The 24,826-nt window shown below is 39.7% G+C and overlaps 2 long non-coding RNA genes across 6 annotated transcripts in view; one reads left to right on the forward strand and one right to left on the reverse strand.

The window, feature by feature from the left end:
* Positions 1–24,826, forward strand: part of CASC18 (cancer susceptibility 18) — a 39,861-nt gene that overhangs the window by 10,748 nt on the left and 4,287 nt on the right. For 2 of the 4 annotated variants that reach the window (NR_110108.1, NR_110110.1), the window contains exon 2: positions 22,306–22,447. The exons of 1 other annotated variant lie outside the window; for it this stretch is intronic. This is a non-coding gene — a long non-coding RNA (cancer susceptibility 18). Of the gene's footprint in view, positions 1–211; positions 270–7,272; positions 7,332–22,305; positions 22,448–24,826 lie in introns of all 4 variants that reach the window. One more of the 4 variants, NR_110109.1, reaches the window with a different exon arrangement.
* The window catches only part of LOC107984435 (uncharacterized), a 28,065-nt gene continuing 27,122 nt past the window's right edge, over positions 23,884–24,826 (reverse strand). For both annotated transcript variants that reach the window (XR_001749303.2, XR_007063441.1), the window contains one exon: positions 23,884–24,409. This is a non-coding gene — a long non-coding RNA (uncharacterized LOC107984435). The remainder of the gene's footprint in view (positions 24,410–24,826) is intronic.

Genomic DNA, 24,826 nt, shown 5'->3' on the forward strand with positions numbered 1-24,826 from the left:
GGGACTCACTGAATCCAATGCTTCTTTGAGCTTGGACATTCTGGGTATCTATCATTCTCAAGCTGACCTTATGTATTTTTATTGTGATAAAGATACCAAAACTAAAAATTGAGACACAATGTTATGCCTCCAGATATGCTACCTTGTTTTATCAGTTCTTCAAAGTCCAGAATTAAAGAATCTCTCTGTGAATTGTCATGTCATGAGCCAGGTGAACCATACTGGACAAGTAGAGTCAAGCCTCTGTAACCCAGAGTGGGAAAAATCGGGTAAGTAAACCCCTTCCCTCTGCAAACACATCCATTTGTCTGAATAAGGCTTATTTCTATCTGATGCTACTAGAGGTACATGAAAAGGTAATCAGAAAAGTCCTCTAAATTGAGGAAAGTATTTGGAGGAAAGCAGGATGGACACATCACATATTGTAGGAATAAAATGACCCTCAAGTTCAGTTTGCAATATGCTTATAACTGGAGAGTAGCAGTTTTTTAAGGTATGTCAAGACTATGGCTAGATCTAAGTAAGACAGCAATAGAAAAAATAAAGAAAGAAAAGAAAAGAAAAGGAATGCAACAGACCCCAGAAGTTTATTCTAGTCAAAATGTGTTTTTATACATGAACTATAATTAGGGTGACAACAAAAGTTATTGCCCAAACCAGGACATGTTTGAGAGTGAAAGGGGCATTATTAATAATTGCACTGGGACAACAGGTGTAAGCCAGGACAGATGACACCCTAGCCATGGTCCTACCCCTTGCAGAAACTTCTGAGTGTTTGTGAATCAGAAGGCAGTAAATAAAGAAAATATATTTGACAGGGGCACGAAGTCTATGAACACTGCCTTCCTTCTTCTTCAGGGCAATAGGCATGAGGCAAAGGTAAGATAAAGACATGAGGAAGAATGTTAACAATAGGTAGTGTTTAAAAACCAATCTGTTGTTTATAATCTATTTTTGTTTCAAGGTAGGGTGAACTGAAGAAAAAATTCACTTAAAATGAATTTTTACATTACTAGACAAGAATGCAATTCTTAAAGAGTAAGAAATCCCAATCATAGTTTTGAAACCAGCTAGGTAGCTCTAACAGTCAGAAGTTTCCATCTGGCCCCAAAGAAGAAGTCACATTTCTGTGTTCAGGACACTTCAGGATGTTGCCACAAGGATCTCTTGACTGTCTTTGCATCATCTCAGGTTTCCTAGAGGAAAAAACTAACATTTTATTTAATCTCATAAAAATTCTGAGTGTTTCATAAATTGGCTGCTTCATTTTTACAAATATCGAAACAGAGGATCAGAGATTACCTGCCCAAGATAACCCCATTAAACACAGACGTGGATTCAAACTCACCATGTTTTACTCTTCCTGTATTGCCTAGGACAAAGGTATCAAACAAAAAACGGCAAAACATAGACTCATTCATTAGCACCTCAATGTTTATTGAGTGCCTACCTTTTATCAGACATTGTCCTACGTACTAGGGATACAGAGATGAGCCTAAAACAGTGCCCTGACACTTATATTCTAGTGTGCGAGGTGGGAAGATCATTACTGGCAGAAGGAACAGCACATGCAAAGGTTGTGAAAAGATGATCCAGATACTAATCCAGCTGTAGAGAAGTGAGACAGAGAAGGCTGGAGAGAGAACCACAGAAGAGAGTTTGTGGGGCCCTGTAAGCCCAGGTAAAGACTTCACATTCCAAGTAGAAAAAGAAATCAGGAAAATGTCACGATGTTATTTATAGCAGTGGGAAGCCTGGACTGCAGGGGCCAAAAGAAGCAGCAGAAAGACCTGTGAAGAGGCTCCCACGGTCTTCACAAATGCTAGAGATAATGGTGTTAGGTGAGAGAATTAGCAGTGGAGGTGGTGAGAAGTGGATACAGAGAGGGTGTACTCCCAAGGCCATGGGAAAGGATTTGCTAATAGGTTAGATGCTGGCCTTGGGCGCCAGAGAGGCACCAAGGAACTCCTGTTAGTGGAACCATGAATGCAGATTGGGAACAGGAGCAGGAGGCTGAGCAGGCAGGCGGGACGTCATTTTGAAGTTCTCTTCAAATGGAAGGGTTTCAGATGTTCAGGGAACCTTTGGGGAGTTTTAAGTAAGGGAGGAGAATCATTCCATTTTCCTTTTGGAGAGATCACTCTGGTGGCAGTGTTTGGAATGGATTAGAGAAAGGAGGAGAGGAGAAGCAGTGAAAGCAGCTGGGAAATTAAATGCTGAGTTAGGTAGGGGATTATGAAGGCTTGGACTGAGACAATGGCCGTGGGGATAAAGAAGAGAGGCTACATTTGAAATATTTATGGGGCAAGGGAGTTAATTAAAAAACAGTGGCTTATTAGATGTGAGAAGAGAAGGAGAAGATTAAAATAGTCTCCCTTTCCTGAACGTTCTGAAGTCTGGGAGGTTCAAGAATCTCAGCAAATCCCAGATTTTCTTAAAGGGCCAGTCAATGTAAATTAATGAATAGTTTTTAAAAAATCTTCAAAGAAATATAAAGAGTTTTTAAAAGAGAGAGCAGAGGCAAGGTATTCCTTTTTGTATTGGACATTTTTTTATATCGGGTCCAGAATTTAAATGTATACCAAGAGTTTGAATTGTAGTGATCATTCTGTTGACTCTGTATACCATAAATAAGTGTAGCCATTATATAGGGTGGCACTTTAACACTCTAACGTGTTGTCTGTCTCAAGAGGTTGCCTTGGAAGTTTATAGTCTGAATGTAATGATGCTGCCCATCATTTCTGCAAATTTTCTACCCTTTTTGAAGGAGGTTATTTTTAAAGTCAGCTGGGCATTGCATTAGAAAGAATTCCCACTACTTTGGCCACCAACCTAATTTTTACTTTAAAATAGAAACACCCTGGCCAGGTGCTGTGGCTCATGCCTGTAATCCCAACACTTTGGAAGGCTGAGGCAGGTGAGTCACTTGAGGCCAGGAGTTTGAGACTAGCCTGGCCAACATGACAAAACCCTAAAATTACAAAAATACAAAATTACTACTAAAAATTACAAAAATACAAAATATAGCCAGGTATGGTGGCATGCGCCTATAATTCCAGCTACTTGGGAGGCTGAGGCAGGAGAATCTTTTGAACCCAGGAGGCAGAGGTTGCAGTGAGCCGAGATCACGCCACTGTACTCCAGCCTGGGCAACAGAGTGAGGGCTCAAAAAAAAAAAAAAAAAATAGAAACACTCATCTCCATTGTCCACTTTGTTCACACAACTTGACTGTTTCAAAAAGTCATGTCAGTGTACAAAGGATGAAAATTTTCTTTACTGAGGTTATGTAGGACGCTGTGCTGCAGGTTCTTAAAGCTGTATGGAACCACGGTATCAAAGTTTCCTCTAAGTCATGGGGGTTCTTTCTGGTATCTGGGCCTTTGGGCTTCTTCTGACTTCAGGGCTCTTCCTCCCTCCCACCTTTATTTTCACAACTTGTCTTTCAGAATCAGTTGAGCTCTGTGTCCCTAGAATTCATCCTCAGACCTCCAAGGCCGTATTGTTTGTCCTGTGCACTCCTGGGCCTCCAATGTTTACCTCTGTCCCCACCATATTGCAATATTCTATTGGCTGCTCTCACTACTTATCTGTGATCTCTTAGAGAATTGGAATTGATCTCTTCATAGCCTTTAGCACTTAGCATAGGGCCTAAGTGCTAAATCAATATATATGCTTAATAACTGAATAATGGCTAGCTCTAAGGATTAAAACAATGTTTTTCCTTTTTTTTAAAAAAAAGCAACCTCAAAACAGTTAATCTAAACTCTCTTGGTAACAACTTTAGCCAGGGAGTACTCGTTTGGAGGTACATACATACTCTGACATCTGGGTGTCTGAATTATTTTATTGGTCATATAGAATAATAGGAGTCCATTTTAAAGATACATTTTTAATTGGCATATCTCTAACCACAATAGCAGCAGCGACTAATCTTAGGCAACTGGCTTTGCACCAGCTCCTATGGCAGAAACCACCAGTTATTCCTTACTAACAGAACCCCCATTTCGTTGACAGTAATGATGCACATGTCTACATGCTTTTTTGAATTGGCTATGGCCTTGTGACCAAGTTCCAGCCAGGGAGCTGGAACAAAGATGTTGAGAAGGACTTCCAGAGGGCTTCCTAAAAGGCAGACAGACATTCTAGGAAAGCTCTTTTCCCCATTCTCAATTGTCTTAGTCCATTTGGGCTGCTATAACAAGATGCTATAAACTCAGTGGTTTATAAATAATAAATTTGTTTCTCACAGTCTGGAGGCTGGGAAGCCCAAGATCAAGATGCTGGCAGATTTGGTGTCTGGTGGGGTCCTATTTCCTGGTTCATAGACAGTGACTTCTCCATGTGTCCTCACATGGAAGGGGCAAGGGAGCTCTTGGGAACTCTTATAAGGGCACTAATCCTATTCATGAGGCCACCATCCTCATGACCTAATCACCTCTCAAAGGCACCCCTTCCTAATACCATCACCTTGGGGTTAATGGTTCAACATTCATATGTTGTAACATATGAATTTGTGGGGGGACATAAGCATTTGGTCAGTCACACTGGTACTTACACTGAGCCATTTTGGATCATAAGATTACCTAGAAGGAGCAGTCTGTCTCTAAGATGCCAGAGCCAAAAGAACAAATTCTGAATCCCTGTGAAGTCATGGAACCAACATCTTAGCAGCAATCTGCTATCTCCAAACATTAAAAAAAAATTTTTTTTTGAGACAGTATGTTGCTTTTTCACTCAGGCTGGAGTACAGTGGTGCAATCATAGCTCACTGTAACCTCAAACTCCTGGGCTCAAGAGATCCTCCCACTTCAACCTCCCAAGTAGCTGGGACTACAGGTGCATGCCACCACACTGGGCTAATTAAAAAAAATTTTTTTTTAGAGATGGGATCTCACCATGTTGCCCAGGCTGGTCTTGAACTCCTGGCCTCAAGCAATCCTCCTGCCTTGGCCTCCCAAAGCACAAGGATTACAGGCATGAGTCACTACTCCCAGCCTGCAGGTGTCTTTGCATGTGGAAATGAAGCCTTGTGCAGTTAAGCTGTTGTTATTTTGGATTTTCTATACCAGGCAGCTACACTTATTCCTAATGAGCTTAGGTGTTTTACAGAGAATATTTCAGTTAACCTTTACCGTACCCCTGTGAGTTAGGGGTTATTGTCCCCACTTTTCAGTTGAGGAAATTGAGATAGCAGAGTTGAGTTTGAACCATGACTGCTTGACTCTAGATCCTGTTATTATATGAGAATGGGCCTCCGTTTTGAGTGATTTAAGCATCTCCACCTATATGGAATTGTTGACTTTATACTTTCCTATACATTTCTTTAGATCACTCTTCTTTTTATCTTCTTTCACGTGTTTTCATGTCATCAGAATTTATGGTTGGACAGGAAACCAGAAGGACTTTGTTTTTAAAGTTTTTGGCCCAAAGAATGAGGCCAATAACATGTGGCTCAACCAAAGGGCATGTTCTATTACTCTCCGAGCATCTGTATAGTTGGGGTTTGTTTTAGAGAGACACTGACACTTCCTTTGTCCTGCTTCATCTTCATGATGCTCTGAGAGCAAGACAGAACGACTGATGTTTCTGTTATTTAATGAGTGAGAAGACTGGGCCAGTCTAAGGATGTTGACCACTTTTCATTGTGTACGCAGGGTCCAATACCTGAAGTCACTCTGTCCTGTCTGGGGACTTTTGGAGACCACTGTAGTCAGTAATACACTGGAAGAATTTTAGAACTCAGGAGAACCTCTCTAATTTCACTCTCTCAATATATTTCTTTTAATTCAATTCTAATTATCAAAACTTATATAAAATATTTATACCAAGAATTTTAAAGAGCTCTAAAATAATCAAAAAGGATAAGATTACAGGTAATTTTTTACCTGTTTGTTGGGGTTGTGAAAGGGCCATGATGCAAACTTACTTTATCTGGACTTCAACTGCCACATCTTATGCATTTGTGAAGAGATAATTCAATTTCTAATAAATATCTCCTGGATTCCTTTATAAGATATTTAGCTTAGCCATGTCGTTCCCTTTCATCTAGTGAAACTCACTCTAGCTCTTAAGAGGATCATGTCATTTTGCACATCAGTGAATAGCCTCACATCTCCTGTTTCTACTCACAGCAAACACCCTTGAGGTTAGAGCTTGATGGTTAAACACAAAGAGTCCCAATGCCCTAAGATTCCACAGACGCCTGTTGAATTACCAGGATGCTCATAGACTGCAAATACTTAACAAAAGGAGTTTCTCCCCCTTGACACCCCCCTCACCCTCGCCCTCAACACTCTCACTCCCACCACAAGTGAAAGAGAAAAAAAATCCCACTTCAAACAGTGCACCTGGCTATAATCTTTTCTACTTCAACTAATTGCGATTTCCAGTGGCATGAGGTTGGGGGATGGGGAGGGAGTGGAGACTTCACTGGCTAGTAATGAAGTATCAAACCACAAAATGATTTCATACGGTCGATTGTTCCATTCCAGGGCAGCCAACATCTTACATTAATTTTCAGTTGCAGGAACTATAGTTCTCATACAAAGAAATACATTCCTAACAAGGTACAGGAATTAATTTTCAAAATGGCCTTAATGCAAAAGCAGGCAAAGAGTTTCAAGTTGTTTCAGAGTTTCAGAATGACTTTTACAGATGTCTGAAAATCACTCAACTTCTGGACTTTTAAAAAGCATTAATGCTCTTAAAAGAGGCAAACCCCAGTTTTTATAATTGACCAAGTTTTGAATTACACTTTCATGTTTGTGACTATTTGTATAACATCTGTCTAGCCAGATTGTACATGTCATGTGGACAGAAACTTTGTCTATTTTTATTCACCACCTTATCATCAGTATTCAGCAGAGTGCCTGTAGCATAGCAGGTGTTCAATAAATACTATTGATTTCATGAATGAATGAAATCCCAAGGCTATAGATAATTCTTTAAGTGTTTGCTATAATAATATCCTGTTGCCAGATGGCCAGAAGGGAAGAGACAGAAGGAAGGGAATGTATAAAATTTTATAAATGTTATTGTTTATAGAATGCTTTATGTAAGTGGAAATATTTTCACACATAGTAATAATAATGGTGATTATCGGTAGCAGTAGAGTTATTATTAGTAATAGTGAGAGTCATAGGGTGTGGGGTGTGGTAGTAGCCTTGAGTGATTATTATATGCCGGCTGTTGGGCTTAGCTCTTTGCATGAATCACATTTTATATTCACAGTTCTCTGTAGGGTAGTAATTTATATTATCCCAATTTCACAGATGAGAAGACTGAGGCATGGACACATAAATAACTTTTTCAAAGTTCCAGGATCACATAGGTAGGAAGTAGCAGATTTTGAACTAAACTTTATCCCATCTGTAGCCTATTTCCCCCTTTTTCCCTTTCCTTTTCCGTTCCCTTTCGTTTTCTTAGAATAGCATATTGATGGTAGACATTGCGGTTTGGCTCTTTAAGCGTCTATCCCAGGTCCCTTCTCCCTGACTTTCCTAACCTATGAAACTAGAAAGCTACACACTTTATTTCCCAGCATCCTCTGCACAACAGCTGGCCATGTGACACAGTTTGGGGCAAAGAGTTAGAAGTGGAAGTCAGCAGAGAGAGCCCGTGACTGAAGACTTGGAAAAGCTCTTGATTTCTCAAAAAAAGGGACAAGGTAGCTAGCATTCCCCCATTTCCCATCTGCTTCATTCATTCTTGAATGTGATATTTGTCTGTCAGGGGGTGCAGAAGCCCTTTTGTAACAATGAGACTGAGAGAATCACAGGACAGTCAGCCCCAGCATAGTGTGCTGGCTGCACCAACCCCAGTCACACTTTACATGCTGATGTCTTATTACGTCAGGTAAACAAACCCCGATTTGTTTCAGCCATGGTGAATCTAGCTTGCACGATTTGTAGTTAAAATCATTACGGCAGATGCCAACATGCATCTTCTAAAGTTAAGGCTGAGACTTAGGAAGCTGCTTCAGGGGCAATGGGAGGAAACTGGCTTTTGGCCATGAAACAAAAAGTAATCTCACTTGTCTTGATGTTGAATCTTGCAGAGTGGGGATATTGAAATCTCAAGTCAGATAGAATGCACTAGATTGTGAAATAAGGTATAAATATCTATATTTGCCATTGTCTTTCCAAAATAATCCTAGGCAGCAAGTGTTGCTATAAAAAAGTATTAAGTCAATGCTTTGCAAATTGTAATCAGATTAAAAGAAAAAGAAATCCAGAGACAAAGAGGAAACCTGATAATCCTTGCATGGATATCCATACATTTAAAAGGACCCTGCATCGTTGCTCAAAAAGCCCAAAGAGCTTTTGTGGCCTGACGTGGAGAACTCATAGGGACTGTGATCAGTCACTTAAGAGGTTGTGTAAATTCCTGCCATTCATTTTGCTCTTTATTACAGTAAAAGAAAAAATTTCTTAAAACTTGCCTAAGTGGTAATCTCAGATTAAGGAGTTTCTCATGTCCCATATTTGTGAGCCTGCTGGTAGCTCTCTACTGGTACATGTGGCTCTTCTGTCAATTTAGAATGATCTCCTCTGTCTGGATAGGACATTCTTGGCCTTTAGGAGAGAGAGATTGTGTTTATTCTGAACTATGGCATAAATTAATCTGGCAATTTGTTTCTCCAAATCATTCAGTTCAGTTCCTTCATTCATTCAACATCATGAGAGACACTTAAGAGCTGTGTTTCTTGGAATGCTGCCTTGTTGGCAGTCAGAAATGGCTTGATAGTTTCCAAGGAAAAATTGATGACTTAAGCTTATTCATATTTATTTGCAAATTCGAAACGTAAAATAATTGTTGTCACAGATTCCATTATATTTTTACAGGTTGTCTTGCTAATATCCACTTAACTTGACTAGTGTGTTTTTACCTCATTTGCGTATTTGCTGAAATGAGAATTTGCTGAGTTCTCATTTCCCATCATTATTGTGTGTCTTTACAATTCTCATAAATAGACAAGTGTCTCAAAAGTGATTGGTTGAACATAATGTTAATGATGACAATAGGTACATAGTTACTATAGCTCAAAATAATGTCCTATACATGAACAGGAAATAGAATTTGAATGTAAATGTGAATATGTATGTCTTGGAACAAGTGAGTATGCGTGCTAATGTGACAAGTTTCTGACAGTTCCCCCCCTCCACAAATGTATGCATAAGAATAATCAGAACGAATTCCTGAGGGTACATTTTACTGTAAGCAAATTACACCCAAGTAATCCTGACTTGAGAAATGAATGAATGAATGAATGAACATCTGAAGGTCAGTTATATTACTTGTCAACACCTAGGCTATTATGTGTTTTGAAATTTTTAGAATAGAAACATAAACCAACAGCATTTTCACTTAATTTTTAAACAAATCTTGATGATATGATTGTTTAGCACTTGAATATCTCTAAAACAAGGTCAGAATAATGCTTTTCGATACAAAATTGGCGAATTAGTTAAGTCAGTGAAGAGACAAAAGTTCTTGAAGTATCATCCAAATTCATATTTAGCCATACTCTGGTTAAGATGATTATAATAAAAAATACTATGCCCTCAAGTTAATGAAAAATACTATGCCCTGAGAGAAATCGGAGCCTTTGACAAGACTCCTTTATTCAGTGACACTTTTGGACTTATTACTGGTAGTGCACAAGGGAAAGAAGTTGCTATGGCTTCATTGTTAGATGAATCTATTGATATGCAGAGTGTGAACCAGCTCCTAGCCTTTATGCAGGACACGTATGAGGGGAAAGTGCAAGAGAACATCTTGTTTCATTTAATTACTTAAAGCCCCTGTCACAGGAGAGGGCATTTCCATGCAGTTAACAGTTATTCTGTGATTCATGCGCTGGCTGCAAGAGGTGGCTAGACTCAGTAGTGAAGCATATCTACACAAATAAAAGAGCTGCACTGAATGCCAGGTCACACACTGCTTAATCCAAAGAGAACTGGCAGACACAACTCCAAGGAACACTATTGGCTTTGTGCTCCAGGGAAATACAACGTCTGTATGACCACTCAAAGTTATACAACAAGGTGGCCCCGACTCTGCCTCCTGCTCTTGATTCAGGGTTGAAAGAATTGGTGAAAATCACAAGTCCCAACAATTCCATCTAATGAGTATATGTCTTTTCTAGCTCTTTGTTATTAACTAAGCAGTGAGTAATAAATAACATTTTGCTTTCTGGCACTAGAGTATGCTAGCTTTTGAGGGAGAATGTGTTCTTACAATTTTTTTTTTTCAAATGAAGGATGAGGGAAAAAAACCCACATTTTTCTATGACATTATAATACCTTCTAAAAAATTCATTTTAAGTGGTTTGCTCAAGCAGACTGTCTCAATATACATACTCCAGTTTCAAAATGCTATGACTATAAATGTCAAGAATTAGATAAGATATTAGGATTACTTAAGAAAACCAAAGTGGAACAAACACTTCCATTACTGGGAATTTGATTCATTTCCAATGCTTGCTAATTTTCTTTGCTTGTTGAAAATAATCACTGATGCTATATTATTGGCCGTGTTTTAAAACCACATCCAAATGCTCCAACATGCCATGAAGAAATACTTTTGGGAACAGAAGGCAACAAATGGATCTATTAGGAATTCACTGACCATCATCTCCCAAGTTGAAAAGTATAGTTTCTAGCTTTTGGATAAGATTTGTTTAACAACTAGATATCCAAACTATTATGTGCCTGTTGCCATCCCCAACCACTTTCCTCTATGCTCAAACATGTTAAACATGTATAAATACAGGTACATATGTTCTTGCTTTGCTCATTTTTTTCTTAACAAAAGAAGATATTATACCATGCATTTTACTCTGCAACTTGCTTTTTAATCGCTCCAAATTATAGCATGGGTAACTCTCCACACCAGTAGATTAAAAAATGTATTTAGAACAATCTAATGTTGTAAATGAAATAATGTAATCAAAAAGAGACCAGCTGAATGTGGGAGTTATCTCAAATGGAGAACAATTGCAAATGAATCCCTCATTAATATGACAAAACCCTGTTATCAAGCCTGAAATTTTATGTTAACAGCTCATCATTTAAAAACTACGATATGTCGGCCGGGCGCAGTGGCTCACGCCTGTAATCCCAGCACTTTGGGAGGCTGAGGCGGGAGGATCACAAGGTCAGGAGATCAAGACCATCCTGGCTAACACGGTGAAACCCCGTCTCTGCTAAAAATACAGAAACAAAATTAGCCGGGCATGGTGGCGGGCACCTGTAGTCCCAGCTACTTGGGAGGCTGAGACGGGAGAATGGCGTGAACTCGGGAGGTGGAGCTGGCAGTGAGCCGAGATTGCGCCACTACACTCCAGCCTTGGCGACAGAGTGAGACTCCGTCTCAAAAAAAAAAAAAAACAAAAAAACAAAAAAAAAAAAACCCAAAACTACGGTGTGTCTTTTGAACAGTTATTGAGGCATAATTGACATATAATAAACTGCAAATATTTAAAGTATATAATTTGATAAGTTTGGGCATAGAAATATACCTGTGAAGCCATTGCTACAATCAAGATAATGAACATATCTATCAACCCAAAAAATTTGCTCATGTGTAATCGTTCATGTACAAGTTCTTTCTCCAGCCCCACTTGGTTTCTCATCTCTAGCAAGCTACTGATTTTCTTTCTGTCATTATAGATTACTTTGCATTTTCTAGATTTTTATGTAAATAAAATCATAGCATGTACTCTTTTTTGGTTTGGATTTTCTCCAGTGTAACTATTTTGTATTGTATGTGTCCTTTTTTATTGTTAAGGAGTGTCCCTTTATATGTATATACAGTCAGCCCCCTCGGTATTGGCAGCTTCTGCATCCTTGGATTCAACCAACTGCGATAAAAAATATTCAGGAAAAAAAGAACAATAGAAAATAACAATACAGCAATGAAAAATAATGCAAATTAAAAATACCGTAAAACAACTATTTATGTAGCATTTATATTATATTAAGTATTGTAAGTAGACAGGACTTAAAGTATACGAGAGGATGCCTGTAGGTTATGTGCAAATACTAGACCATTTCATGTAAGGGACCTGAGCATCCGCAGATTTTGGTATCCGAGGGAGGTCCTGCAACCAATCCCTCATAGATACTGAGGGACTACTGTATTACAATGTATATACCCAGTTACTGATGGACATTTGAGTTACTTCCAGTTTGGGGCAATTGTAAATCAAACTGCTGTAGATTGTTTTCCAAAGTGGTTGTACGATTTTACACTCTCACTTACAGTGTATGAGAGTTCTTTCATATTCTCGCATGATCAATCTTTCTAATATTAGCAATTCTAATTGGGGCATAATGGTATCTCACTGTAGTTTTAATTTGAATTTCCCTCTTAATAATTTTAATCATCTTTTCATATGCTTATTTACCATCTGTATCTCTTCTTTTATAAAATATCAATTCAAATCTTTTTTCTATCCTTAGTGGGTTCTTTTCTTATTGAGTTTTAAGAATGTTTTCTGTATTCTTGAGCTAAGTTTGTTACCAGATATGTGGTTACCAAATACTTTTTTCAGCCTGTGCCTTGTCTTTTTGTTCTCTTTACAGTGTTTTTCTTAAAAAGAAGTTCTACTTAAAAGTTCAATTTATTAATTCTTCTTTTATGGATTAAGCTACTGGTATCATATCTAGGACATCTTTGCCTAATCCAAGTCACAAAAATTTTCTCATATGAAATATTTGTATATGTTACAAATTATGACTCAGTTTCCTTCATCTTCCTCCTCTTCCTTCTTGCAAATATCCTAGCACCATCTCAGTTGGAATTAGAAGTTCAGATTTATCATTTTAGAAATAATATAACAAAAATTATTTGTCTGCATTGGTTCTGAATTCCCATTACCTTGGCAGGGGATGTCAACATTTTTGGAAGCTTGTCTTTTGAACTGAGGCTTAGGGAATTAATATAATTTCAGGATATACATTAGACAGATAAAACAAAGAACGGGAGGAAAGTCATTCTAGGCAGAAATTACAAAGACAAAGTGGCCTGAAAGGCATGCCATGTTAAGGAACTTCAGGAAACTTAAAATGATTGCATTACCAAAAATGAGTGTCAAAAGAAAGGCTCAATATTGGGATCTACATAGGAAGCATGTAACTCTTTTTTCGGATGTACTTTGCTTTGGCACACAGGACAACTTACCCATTTTGCACCATATGAATTTTAAAGGCAGCTTCTTATTTTTATTCTCTGAAAAGAAAACCCACTTCACACTGCTTAATAAGAAATACAGGGTTTTCTGAAGATTTTGTAGAAATAATAGAGGTGGGAGTTTACAGTGTGTAGCAAGCACTCAACATTTTATTAGAAAGTTCTCTGTGCAACATGTATTTCCTGATTCTTCTCACCTTCCAAGTAGTTGCTGCTTCTCCTCTCCACTCTTCAACTGCCCTCCTTTTCCCAAAGCTCATATTCTGTTAATGCCAGATCTACCCTAGGGCCCTTTCATCTCTCCCTTATTTTTAGGCAATATAATTTAGCTACTCTTTTCTGGCATCTGTCTCCAAGACTGCATATCTCTACTGAATCCTTAATACTGCTTTCAGAATGTAAAAGCCATTACACTGAGGATGAAAACAAAAGCTTCTCCCATTGCTGGAATCTGGCATCCCTAGAAAAAGAAATAATAGATTTTTTTCCTTTGTTAGAAGTACAATTGATAAGCATATGAAGGCCTGCATATAAGAAGTGAAGAAGAGTTAAAATGAAAATTTGGCTGTTTCTTTGATTTCTTGTTTGTGGGATTAGAGACTGGTCTCAATAGTAAATTTATTTTCTTTTATTCTCCTTCACCATGATCTACAGCTTAATAACCATTGTATACATTAGTGAATGAAGGAAGAAACAGAGTATGAGAGGAATGAAATGTAGAGAAAAGCAAAGAAGCATTAGGATTGGAGGAAAGGAGATGAATTCAGTGTTGAATTTGAAATACTTACATTAGTTCCAGATTGAGGAATTCAATAAGTGCTAGTCAGCTATTGCTACTTTAATAATGCAGCAGTATAAATAATACCAAAATATCATGGCATATAACAACAAACATTTATTTCTCTCATGTATAGTTTATGGATCAGCTGAAGTTTAGCTGACATTGTCTGGTCGTGGTTGAATTTGGCTGGTTGGCTCCAGGCTGCAGGTGAGGTTGGAGTCTGCTCCCGGTGTCTCAATCTGGGACCAGCAGCTCATACGATATATTCTTCCCTTGCTGATGGCAGAAGCACATGAGGCCAAGCCACATCATGCAAGGACATTTAAAACTTTTCCTTGTTTCATGACCATTAACATTCCATTGGCCAAAACAAGTCACATGGCAAAGCTCAACATCAAAGTGGTGGGGAAATGAACTTCACCCACTCTAGTGAGAGATCTTGCTGAATTACTGGCACAGGATATGGTTGTATTATCCTTTAACTGAGAGGTTTAAAGAATTGGGAGGAATAATTCAGTGTACCATAAATAGGCAGTTGAAAGGTGGGACTGGAGTTCAAAAGTGAGGAATTCATAGTTGATAGTGGAAGCCTTAGGCATATTTTTCAGCACACAGAAGGGAGGGTATTGAATGATAAGACTGGCGCTGGAACCTTAGGATATGCCTCATTTAGGAAGTAAGTGCAGGATAAGGAGTATGAGAAGAACACTAGGAGGGTGGAATCAAAAGTGTAAAAGGGAGTTTTGTCAGAAGAAACAATCCAAGGCTTTACAAGAAATTTTAATTGGTCTAATGATAAGCATTTCATGATTTTTTCCCTCTACTATCAACCCTCTACTTTTTTTCTCAGCCAGATAAGAGAACTGAAGTATCTGCTGAAGTCTCTGATCCCATTTTCTTACCACTTGATTCTTATTATAGCAAAACAAGTATTATAAAGGAGCAGATAGAGTTAATTTTGGCTCTCTGTTAAGCCTTTAAAACACACACAAAGAGGGTTATTCACTAGTCCACAAAGCTTCTATATACAAACACATACACATATATCTCAATTTAGTATATGTTTACTATGAAGGATCTGAAATATCACATATTAAATATGTTATATGGTCAGCCTCATGGAATAATGCACACTTTTATTCATTTGCTGTGACTCATCACTTCATAAGCACTGGGAGGACCCTAACCACAACTGTGCAAAAGCTTCCATAATAAAACCACAATGGGCACTGCACAAATTGCCTTTTTTAGATTTGGGGTTTCATTGCAATTGGGAATTTTGGATGAATTTTCTTGAGGCTTGGCTTGAGGAACTCTCAGTTGCTCTTGGAAAATCCTGAATCTGGTATATGGCTTTAGGTAGAAGATATGCTCTAAAGCTCAGGACTGGATGGTGGTGGTGGTGTTAGTGTGTGGTGGACTCCATAGAAAATTATTTGTGGAAAGAGCTATTTTTCCGTCTTAGGCATGCATTGAGAAGAGAAAGTGACAGTTCAGGTCAGATTTATTGAGCATCTATTTAATACTACTTGTAATTGTTCTTGTCACTCCCCTGTTGAAAATCCTTATAGATGAAGTCTAAATTTTCTGACATGATATGTCAGGTGTCGATTTATTGCCTCTAATTTTCCCTGTTTAACATACCATGTGGTTTTCGTCTCCTGCTTGGACCAAGGCTGACACATATGGATCTAGGGATCACATCAACCCATCCTAGCTTTGCCCTCCAGCTTCATCTCTCATCCTTCCTCTCTCAGATTTGACTCTTCAGTCATACCTTGCCTCTCATCTCTGGCCTGGGTCACCCTTTCTCTTACCCTACTTTGTTCTTCCTACACTTTCATCAGTAAATCCCACTTATCCTCAACATGTCAGAAAGCAATCATTTCTTCTGGAAAGTCTTTCCTGAATTAGTCAGTACTGTTGGGTGACTTTCCCAAGTGCTCCTGTAACCAGCTTTTAGTTCTCATCACCCTATGTTGCAGTGACCAGTTTCCTTCTCTTTCTCCCATGAAATATGCTCCTGGGAAGTCTAGAGATTGTATCTTTCTCCTTTATAACTTCAGCTCCCAGCTGGTCCCAGGCACATGAACCCAATGGTACCTCATATGTATTTGCTGAATAAATGCCTAAATAACAAGGTGCCTATCTTTAGGGAGATAATAATCTGCACAAAACATTAGTGCACTGAACACTGGTTGAACTTAAAAATGTAATTCTGAGTTGTTTAGACAAAGCTGGCTGGAGAAGGCAGTATTTGAGCTGGTCTTTAAGGGTTTCATGAGGCAGAGTGAGGAGTTAAGAATGGAGAAAACAGAATAAACAAATACATAAAGAAGACCTCATTTATGGCATGTTCTGGACATATGAAAAGAATCTCAGTTTTCTGGGATGGTCAGGTGCATGATGAGAAACATAAATGTGGCAAAGAAGTGTGAACAGGAGATTTGGGGCCAGATTCTGGAAGGCCTCAAAATATACGCAGAAATGGTGGTTATAAACAGGTGGTTCCACAGTATGAGCATCATCTGGGAATTTGTAAAAAATGCAGTTCAATTCTAATGCACACCATAGCTTGAGAACTACTCTTCTAAAGTATTGAGACTTTTCCTTCTTAACCCAACCTGCCATTGCTGTGTCTGTGTTTACTATAGAACATCTTTTCCAAATCTCCTTAGGGCTGCTGTACTTTGAGGTTAATTTGCCCAGATAAATAAAACGTGGTGCATCCTGCTGGCTTCTGGATCATATGTCAGACATCTTCAGAGAAGTCTGACCTCAAAAATTAGCCCCAGTCCATAATTTCCACATTAGCACATCCTATTCTCTCTCGAGTTCCCAAGTTTCCCCTCCTTATAGAGATTGTTTCTGGGATTCCTCTGCTTCAACATTTCCAAGGGAAGAAAAGCCAAACTCTCAGAAATATTTGGGTGTGGAGTCATGGACCACTGCTCTTCCTAAATCTGTTCCCCTAGAATTCAGCAAGTTTATACTGATGCCTACACTGTCATTTAAAGAAACAAGGTCATGTGTCCACAGACTGCACACTGAGGTCAACCTTCCCTTTCCTTCATTCTCGGGGAGACCTAATATCCAGGATTAGCAAGAAGATGGTGTGTTAAATCTCTGCTAGTTGAGCTGCCCACTTTCCTCAAGGGTGGTCCTGGTTTGCTGCTGCTGTGAACTTTTGATTTCTTAGATAATCCAAATCTATTCCCCTCTGTCAAGTTTTATTCCCTTCTTTCCACCCTCATCCAACACAGAAGTGTCTTAACTACCCAGTTACAAGTTTCCTAAGTCCCAGCCTTTACTTTTGAATTGCTCATTATTCTTGTGATTAGCGAAAATGTCTTTCCCATTGGATTGTGAATTCTATGAGGTTAGGGACCACTTCTGATTTCTTCACTGCTGCATCCCTGTGTTTTATAAGAGGGCCCAGAACACAGTGGGTGCCTAATAACAATTTTTAAAATTCTATCACTGAAGGAGTGATGTGGTGTTATAATGCAAGTCAAAAGAGTTTACCTCTTAGTAGCCCTGGGGCCCAGAGCCATGTAATAGTAGGCACTAAATAAATGATTATTAATACCTTGGCACATGTTATTTCCCTCTCCTTGGACTGACTTCCTTCATTTCTGGACCTACTAAAATCCTCATCCTTCTTCAAGACTCCAGTCATGGTGACTGCATAAGACCACATGGGTTGTACATCTCACAATTCCAGGGAATGCTATTCAGACGAGATTGGCTGCATTCAGAGTGGTATGCCTGTAGACCAGAGAATGCTATTCAAATAGTCTGTGATGTGAAAGGCACCCCACTGGAGTTGTGCAATATAAAACCCTTCCCAGTTCAATTGTCTCTTCTACCAGGAAGCTTTTCTGGGTGCAGACTGTAATCTCCACGGGGCAGTGATTTTTGTCTTACCCAGCACCTAGAACAGTGCCTGGCTCATAGCAAGCAGAGAATGAATGTTTGTTGAATGCATGAATGAGCTCCTCAGTGATGAAAAGTTGTTTGTCCTCCGTGCCTCACACCTTGTCCCTGCTTGTTGTTGAGCGACTGTTTCGTGTGGAATGATGTTCGAAAGTTCAGTCATAATTATGATGCAGTTCCCAATGATTTGGGACCTTAGTTGTGCTTTTTTATACTGGAAAGTGAGGGCTTCAGAGAGCCTGTAATTGCAGGACTGAAGACTTTATACCACTTCTATATCCAGGTGGATCAACTCTACATAGAAATTTTTGGAAATTGTGCACACCCATGTTTTAATGTGGTCTGGAAGTTTTACTTCAGGGTGTGGTACACGCAGTTGAGGCCACAAATCATGGTTTGTGAGAAGTACTGTTTTGAGAGCAAAGGCACTGGAAACTTGGATAGGAAGCACGAATAAGCCCTAATGGAGGACAGCAATGCTCAGAGGCTCCCAGCCCAGCCCCAAACTTTAGGCACAATCACCCACCAGCATTGCTGCCTTGAATTATATGAAAGGGTGGTGTTCAATGTTCCAAAAAGTTAGAGAAGGGAGGGACTGGTGTCATAAGCTCAGGTGACCACACCTCATATTTCTGGTAGAACCAGCTGGATATGCAATTTCATGTTTTGTGTAGTTAGGGGTCTCAGACAGATCTTGCAAGAATCATCTGTTCCCTTGCATAAGCTACAGAGCCCAATAATCTATCCATGCTTTATTGGACACATCTCACTTGACAGGCTATTTATGCAGAGATGTCTTCTATTGGCCTGAGGGGGAAAAAAAAAAAAAAAACGGTGATACAATCCTCCAGTTTAGAGTTTAGGACAGGTGTCAGCAAACTATGCCCCTGAGTCAAATCTGGCCTACATCCTGTTTTTGTAAATAGAGTTTTATTGGAACACAGCTATGCTCATTGTTTACCTACTGTCTATGGCTGCTTTCACTCTACAACAGCAGAGTTGAGTAGTTGAGATAGAGACTGCATGGTCCACAAAGCTGTTAAGTATTTCTTTTCTGGCCCTTTACAGAAAGCTTGCCAACCCCTGACTTAGGAAATGAAGCTTCCCTCTGCCAGTTAGAGGTGCCCTATTGCAATTGCCTGTCATTTTAACTCTCACAATAAGTTTAAATTCCATGATGGTTGGGAAGCATCTATCTTGCACACTGCTGTATCCACAGGAACGGTTGCATAGTAAGTGCTTACTACATATTAGTCAAATTAATTAATTAACAGTTAAAAAGGTGGACAAATTAGAGTGGAAATAAAATATCCCCTCGAGAGGCACAGAAATTACCAGTAATTTGAAATCTACATTGATTTCTTGAGATCAGATAATTCACTTTTGTTGTTTAATTTTTTTACCACCAAGAGCTCCAGAAAAGTTACATGTTAAGTAAATGTTCAACTATTGATTTATATGCACCTAACAACTTTCATTTTAATTTTAGAAATGTTTGTATAGAAAATTGTGACCTTCGAGATGAAATAAAATATATACTTACCAAGTCCCAAATCCCCTTTCAGAGACATCTTTTTTTTTTTTTTTTTTTTTTTTTTTTTTTTTTTTTTGAGACGGAGTTTCGCTCTTGTCGCCCAGGCTGGAGCACAATGGAGCAATCTCGGCTCACTGCAACCTCCACCTCCTGGTTCAAGCAATTCTCTTGCCTCAGCCTCCTGAGTAGCTGGGATTACAGGCGCCCGCCACCATGCCTGACTAATTTTTGTATTTTAGTAGAGACGGGGTTCTGCCACGTTGGCCAGGCTAGTCTTGAACTCCTGACCTCAGGTGATCCGCCCACCTCAGCCTCCCAAAGTGCTGGGATTATAGACGTGAGCCACGGCGCTCAGCTCAGAGACATCTTAACATCATTGCACTTACCTACTGTACTAGTTTACTCTGACTGTTATAATAAAATACCACAGACCAGGTGGCTTAAACAACAGAAATTTATTTTCTCGTAGTTCTGGAATCTGGGAGTACAAGATCAAGGTGTTGATGGGGATGGCTTCTTCTGAAGCCCCTTTCCTTGACTTAGAGATGGCTGTCTTCTGCCTGTGTCTTCACATGGTCTTTCCTCTGTGCCTGTACATCCCTGGTATCTCTCTCTGTGTCCAAATGTCATCTTCTTTAAAGACATCAGTCAGATTAGATCAAGGCCACTCTCACACCCTCCTTATAATTTAATCACCTCTTTAAAGACCATATCTCCAAATGCAGTCACACTCTGAGGTACCGGGGGTTAGGGCTTCAACACGTTAATGGGAGGGCACAATTTAGCCCACGACACCTACATATCTCTGTATGCTTTCTGCTTTTACACAAGGCTTGAGTACTTGCATGAAATCACATGTGAGGTGACTATCACATCACTGACCACTGAAAATAATGTGGCCAATCCTGCCAGCTGGGGATGTGCACTCCTCACTACCTTCTCTATCAAAGGAATTCAAATTTTTTCTGGGTCAAGGGTTTACCAATGACTGTTCCTCCAGTTAAACTTTCAACCAAGTCTTCAAGGTCAAGGTTTGCCCTGTACAGACAAATCACATAAATACTTTCAAGGTACTACATATGTTTCAAAATGGGAGAAAAAAAGATGGTGGGGGTGGGGGGGTGGGGGGGTGGGGGGTGGGGTAAGCATGTTGACATCCAATGTAGTCCCAGCAACTCTGGAGGCTGAGGTGGGAGGATGACTTGAGCCTGGAGTTCGAGGATGCGGTGAATGGTGATCACACTGCCGCACTCCATCCTGGGCAACAGAGCAAGTTCCTCTCTCTCTTAAAAAAAAAAAAAAAAAAAAAAAAAAGATGGGGGACTATTTAACCTAACTGTTCAACCATTGGAAATTGATTAGACTCATTATAATACAGCCATAGTATGGGATGGGATGTGATGTAGTCTTTTTTAAAGTTTACTAAAGAATATTTAGTGATCCTGAAGGCTCTGTACAATATTGTTAAAGGGAAAAAAATCAAGCCACAAAACAAAATGTATTCACTTATTTAATAAATATTTATTGAACACTGGCTATGGTCAGGCAGGCGATGTTTTAGGTTGTAGGGATTTGATGGTGAACAAAGCAAAGTATCTGCCTGTGTGGAGCTTAAACTGCAGTAGGAAATACTGATAACAAACAAATGACTATAAAACATGCTATCAGCTCATGTAGTGCATTGAAGGAAAATAAAGCAGAACAAGAAATCGAAGAATGGCAAAGAGAAACAATTGTTTTTGCTCATTTGGTCAGGAAGGTTTCTTGGAGGGAACGACATTTGAACAGTGACCTGACGCAGGTGTGAATGCTGGTCATTGGAGGGTCCGGGGGAAGAACATTCCATGAGGGGAAAACCGCAGATGCAAAGGTCATGAGGTGGAAATATGCCTGGCGTGTTGGGAGAATCTCAAGGGGGCCAGTGTGGTTGGAATGGAGTAAAACAAAGGCTTGTATGCCAGGAACAGCATGATTTCAGCCCTGTGGAAATACAATAAGTGTAGAGAAAAAAAATTCTAAGGAGAGATAGCAAGATTATGACACTATAGGTCATCTTGATTTCCTTTCTTTTGATTGCCTACAATATTCTAAATTTTCTGCCACGTGTGTATTACTTTAGAAAGATAAAAATAATGAACGTTTTTATACAAAAGTTTCTGTGGAGCTCAATACCTTTGCCCTGGATGCTCTGATTGGTTGCTGGGTGTTTAGACAGCCACTCTGGCTGTGCCTCATTCCAGGAACAGGGGAGAACCCCCAGCTGGGAAAGCCAGAGGGAGGTGCTTATTCAGATGCTCTCAGGCAGACAGAGCAGGCTGATTTACAGTTAGCGGTGAAGGTGCTAATGTGTCCTCTCAATGGCATCTCCCGCTATCAGCTATCAATATGTGTTAGCAGAATCTAATAACGACCTAATTGGCAACAGAGATCTGAACAGATGTCTCACTTAATAAAAAGGCTTTGTGGCCAGCAAGCTGACCCCTTTTGGGCTTAGCTGGGCTTTGGTACTTTGTGTGTGACCCCTTTTGGCAGTTGTCATTAATCAGTCAGACAAACTGGTTGATTGTTGATTGCTGTGTGTACCAAGTCTGCGGGTCAAACCTGGACCCCTGGAGTGTACTTAGACCAGGTTCCCTGAACTCTGACCACGGCCTTGTCTTCTGTCATCTCATTTAATACACGCACAGGCTAGACTCAAGGGCTTTATTGGCATCAATTATAAATAGCTATTGTAGCCAGATTCTTCACCCACCCATTCACCCTGTGAATCCCTGGTGGATTACTATGGACCCTTCATCGCATAGATTTAAGTAAGTACAGAGGTTGTTACTGGTGCTTATCTCTCTCCTTAACAAACAGGGTCTGTGTGTGGTGGGAAGCAAACTGGCCTGAGGTTCCATCCACTGGTAGAAATGACCCCAAAGACTTCCCATGCAGGGAGGGCAAAGAAGAAAGTGCTTTGGAATGGAGATACCCCTTTTCCTCCTCCTGAATGTATCAGGTAAGGTCAAGATGATGGTAATCAGCTTGCAAAGGCATTTTATCTTCCAAACTTCTGCTTGAATCAATTATGTTGGTGAATAGAATATGCTATTGTTAAGAGAATAGTCTCCTTACAGAGGCTTAAGCAACCAAATAGCAGAATTAATGTGCATGATATTAAGAATAAATGCCCAGAGACAGCATTCGGAACACAAGTAGAGCATTTCCCTGAGAATGAAAACGTTGAAAGGTTTGTATTCTGTAATCCTAATTTCAAAGTTCACAAGTAGTCAATAAAAAAGGAAAAGATAGTTGCATGGTCAAATAAATTTGGGCCTTGCTAGGTTTGACACATTGAGCCAGGTTGTTTTACTGCAGAATTTATCAGAACCTTTGATATGTAAGATAATTAATGGAAGTGTTATTTTGACTTAACCCTTCTTACAAAAGAGTGGTATTGGGTAGAATACAGGTCAATCTTTATACAGAAGCTGACATGCATCTTTTTTTTCTAATTTTTGATATTTAGTGGTTCACAAATTTCTGATTAAAGAGAGTAAGTTGAATTTTTTTCAGGCTTCCCATTAATCTCACCAGTAATAAGCATAGTTTTCTGAATCAATGAAGAGATGGAATACATGGACAAAATGGAATGGAAAAGTAGATCAGCAAAATGTTCTCAAGAGTCTTGTTGCTTCCTCTCTGGCTCTATTTTTGTTATTGTGTGATTCTGGGCAATTTCCTGTTATTATTACACTTATTGTTGTCAGAGGAAACCAATTCGTTTTAATATTAGCCTGAGCAAAACATAATTAGGAAGAGAATCTGCTACCAAAAAGGAAACACGTATGTGCTACTTTGCATTCCAAAGCCCAGTACTCAGATAAACACTCACACGCGCGCGCACACACACACGGGCACACACACAGAGGAGTCCTCGCCACACAATCTCAAAACATCCTGCCAAGCCAATAAAAAGCAGTCTTAGCCACTCCAAGGAAAAACAGCCTGAAAACCAGATGATTTACCAAGCTTTTCACGCTTCCTACTTTTATTTTGGAAGAGGAAAGAGAAGAGGTGATAGAGAAAGGGAGAAAAAAGAAGGGGATTGGCAAGGGAACAGCTTGGAGGCTGACGGCTGAACTTCCGGCCTTCTTTTCTTAGATCTCTCAGTACTCCAGGCTCACTACTGACATTTGTCTCTTGTGAGCTGAAACCTCTGGGTACTTGAAAGTCCATCATATCCATTCGTGTGCTAAGGCTTCCTTCTTTCTCCCTTCTCTCCCTCTTTTTGCCCTCTCTTCGTAACAAAAGGCATTTCTCTTAACTGATTGCGCTGTTCACCCACCTTGGAAGGATCACCATTTCCTGGACAGATGCAAGAGGTGGGAAAGGGTCCGGCGAAGGAGGGACAGGGAACTGGCAGGCGAGGAATGCCAATTCTATCAGGCTGTGTTAGGTCTTTTCATGGTTTATTTTATTTAATACACACAATCATAGTCTAAGATAGGCACTGTTATCATCCCATTCTACAGATGAGGAAATCAGGCTTACCCAGGCTAAGGAATTGCTCAAGGTTACAAGGTTAGGAAGTATTGGAGGCAGGATTTAAATACAGACAAGTTTACTAACTTTAAAGCCAGTACTTTTACCCACAATCCTAATGTACTTCATTTAACTTCTTCAGGCTTCAGGGTTCCTATGTATGAAATAGAGATTATCCCTATTTTCACTCTTGTCCCTCCAGTATTCTCTACACAGTAGATAGAAAGATAGCAGCCATTTGAACTGGGCTCAGCTTCCAGGGGCATGACATAAAATTAATGTCTGCAGTCAGCCTGTATGGGCTGGTATGGATGTACTCCACAAAATCCTCAGGGAGCTGAGCTTCTTCTAACTCCACACTGTCCGATCCAGAGGGGTGACCCTTGTCTTCATAGTCCAATATAGCAGCTGGTCTATCAACCGTCACATCTGCATTCTAGGCAGAGGATGAAGAACAAAGTAAAGAAGGAAAAGGTCAAAACCACCTATCTTTTAAGCATGACTTTTGAATTACCCCATCACACTTCCACTGGTCCATTGGCCAGACTTAGTGTTACGGCTATACCTGCCTGCAGGGAAGGCTGGGAAATATAGTCTTTATTCTGTGATGCCATGCATCCAGCTAAAATTGTGGGTTTTCTATCATGAAGGAAGGAAGGAATGGTTACTAGGGATAGTGCACAGTGTCTGCAAGAGGAACCCTTTCAAAATGTAAGTCAGATCATGTTACTCTGCTGAAAACTGGGTAAAGCCTTCCCACTCGCTCAGGCTGAAAGCCAACGTCTTTGCAGTGTCCAACAAGGCCTTCCATGCCTTGTTCTCAAGAGTCATTGCTTCCTTTCTGGCTGGGCCC

Source organism: Homo sapiens, chromosome 12, assembly GCF_000001405.40.
Source record: "Homo sapiens chromosome 12, GRCh38.p14 Primary Assembly".
Classification (NCBI taxonomy): Eukaryota; Metazoa; Chordata; class Mammalia; order Primates; family Hominidae; genus Homo; species Homo sapiens.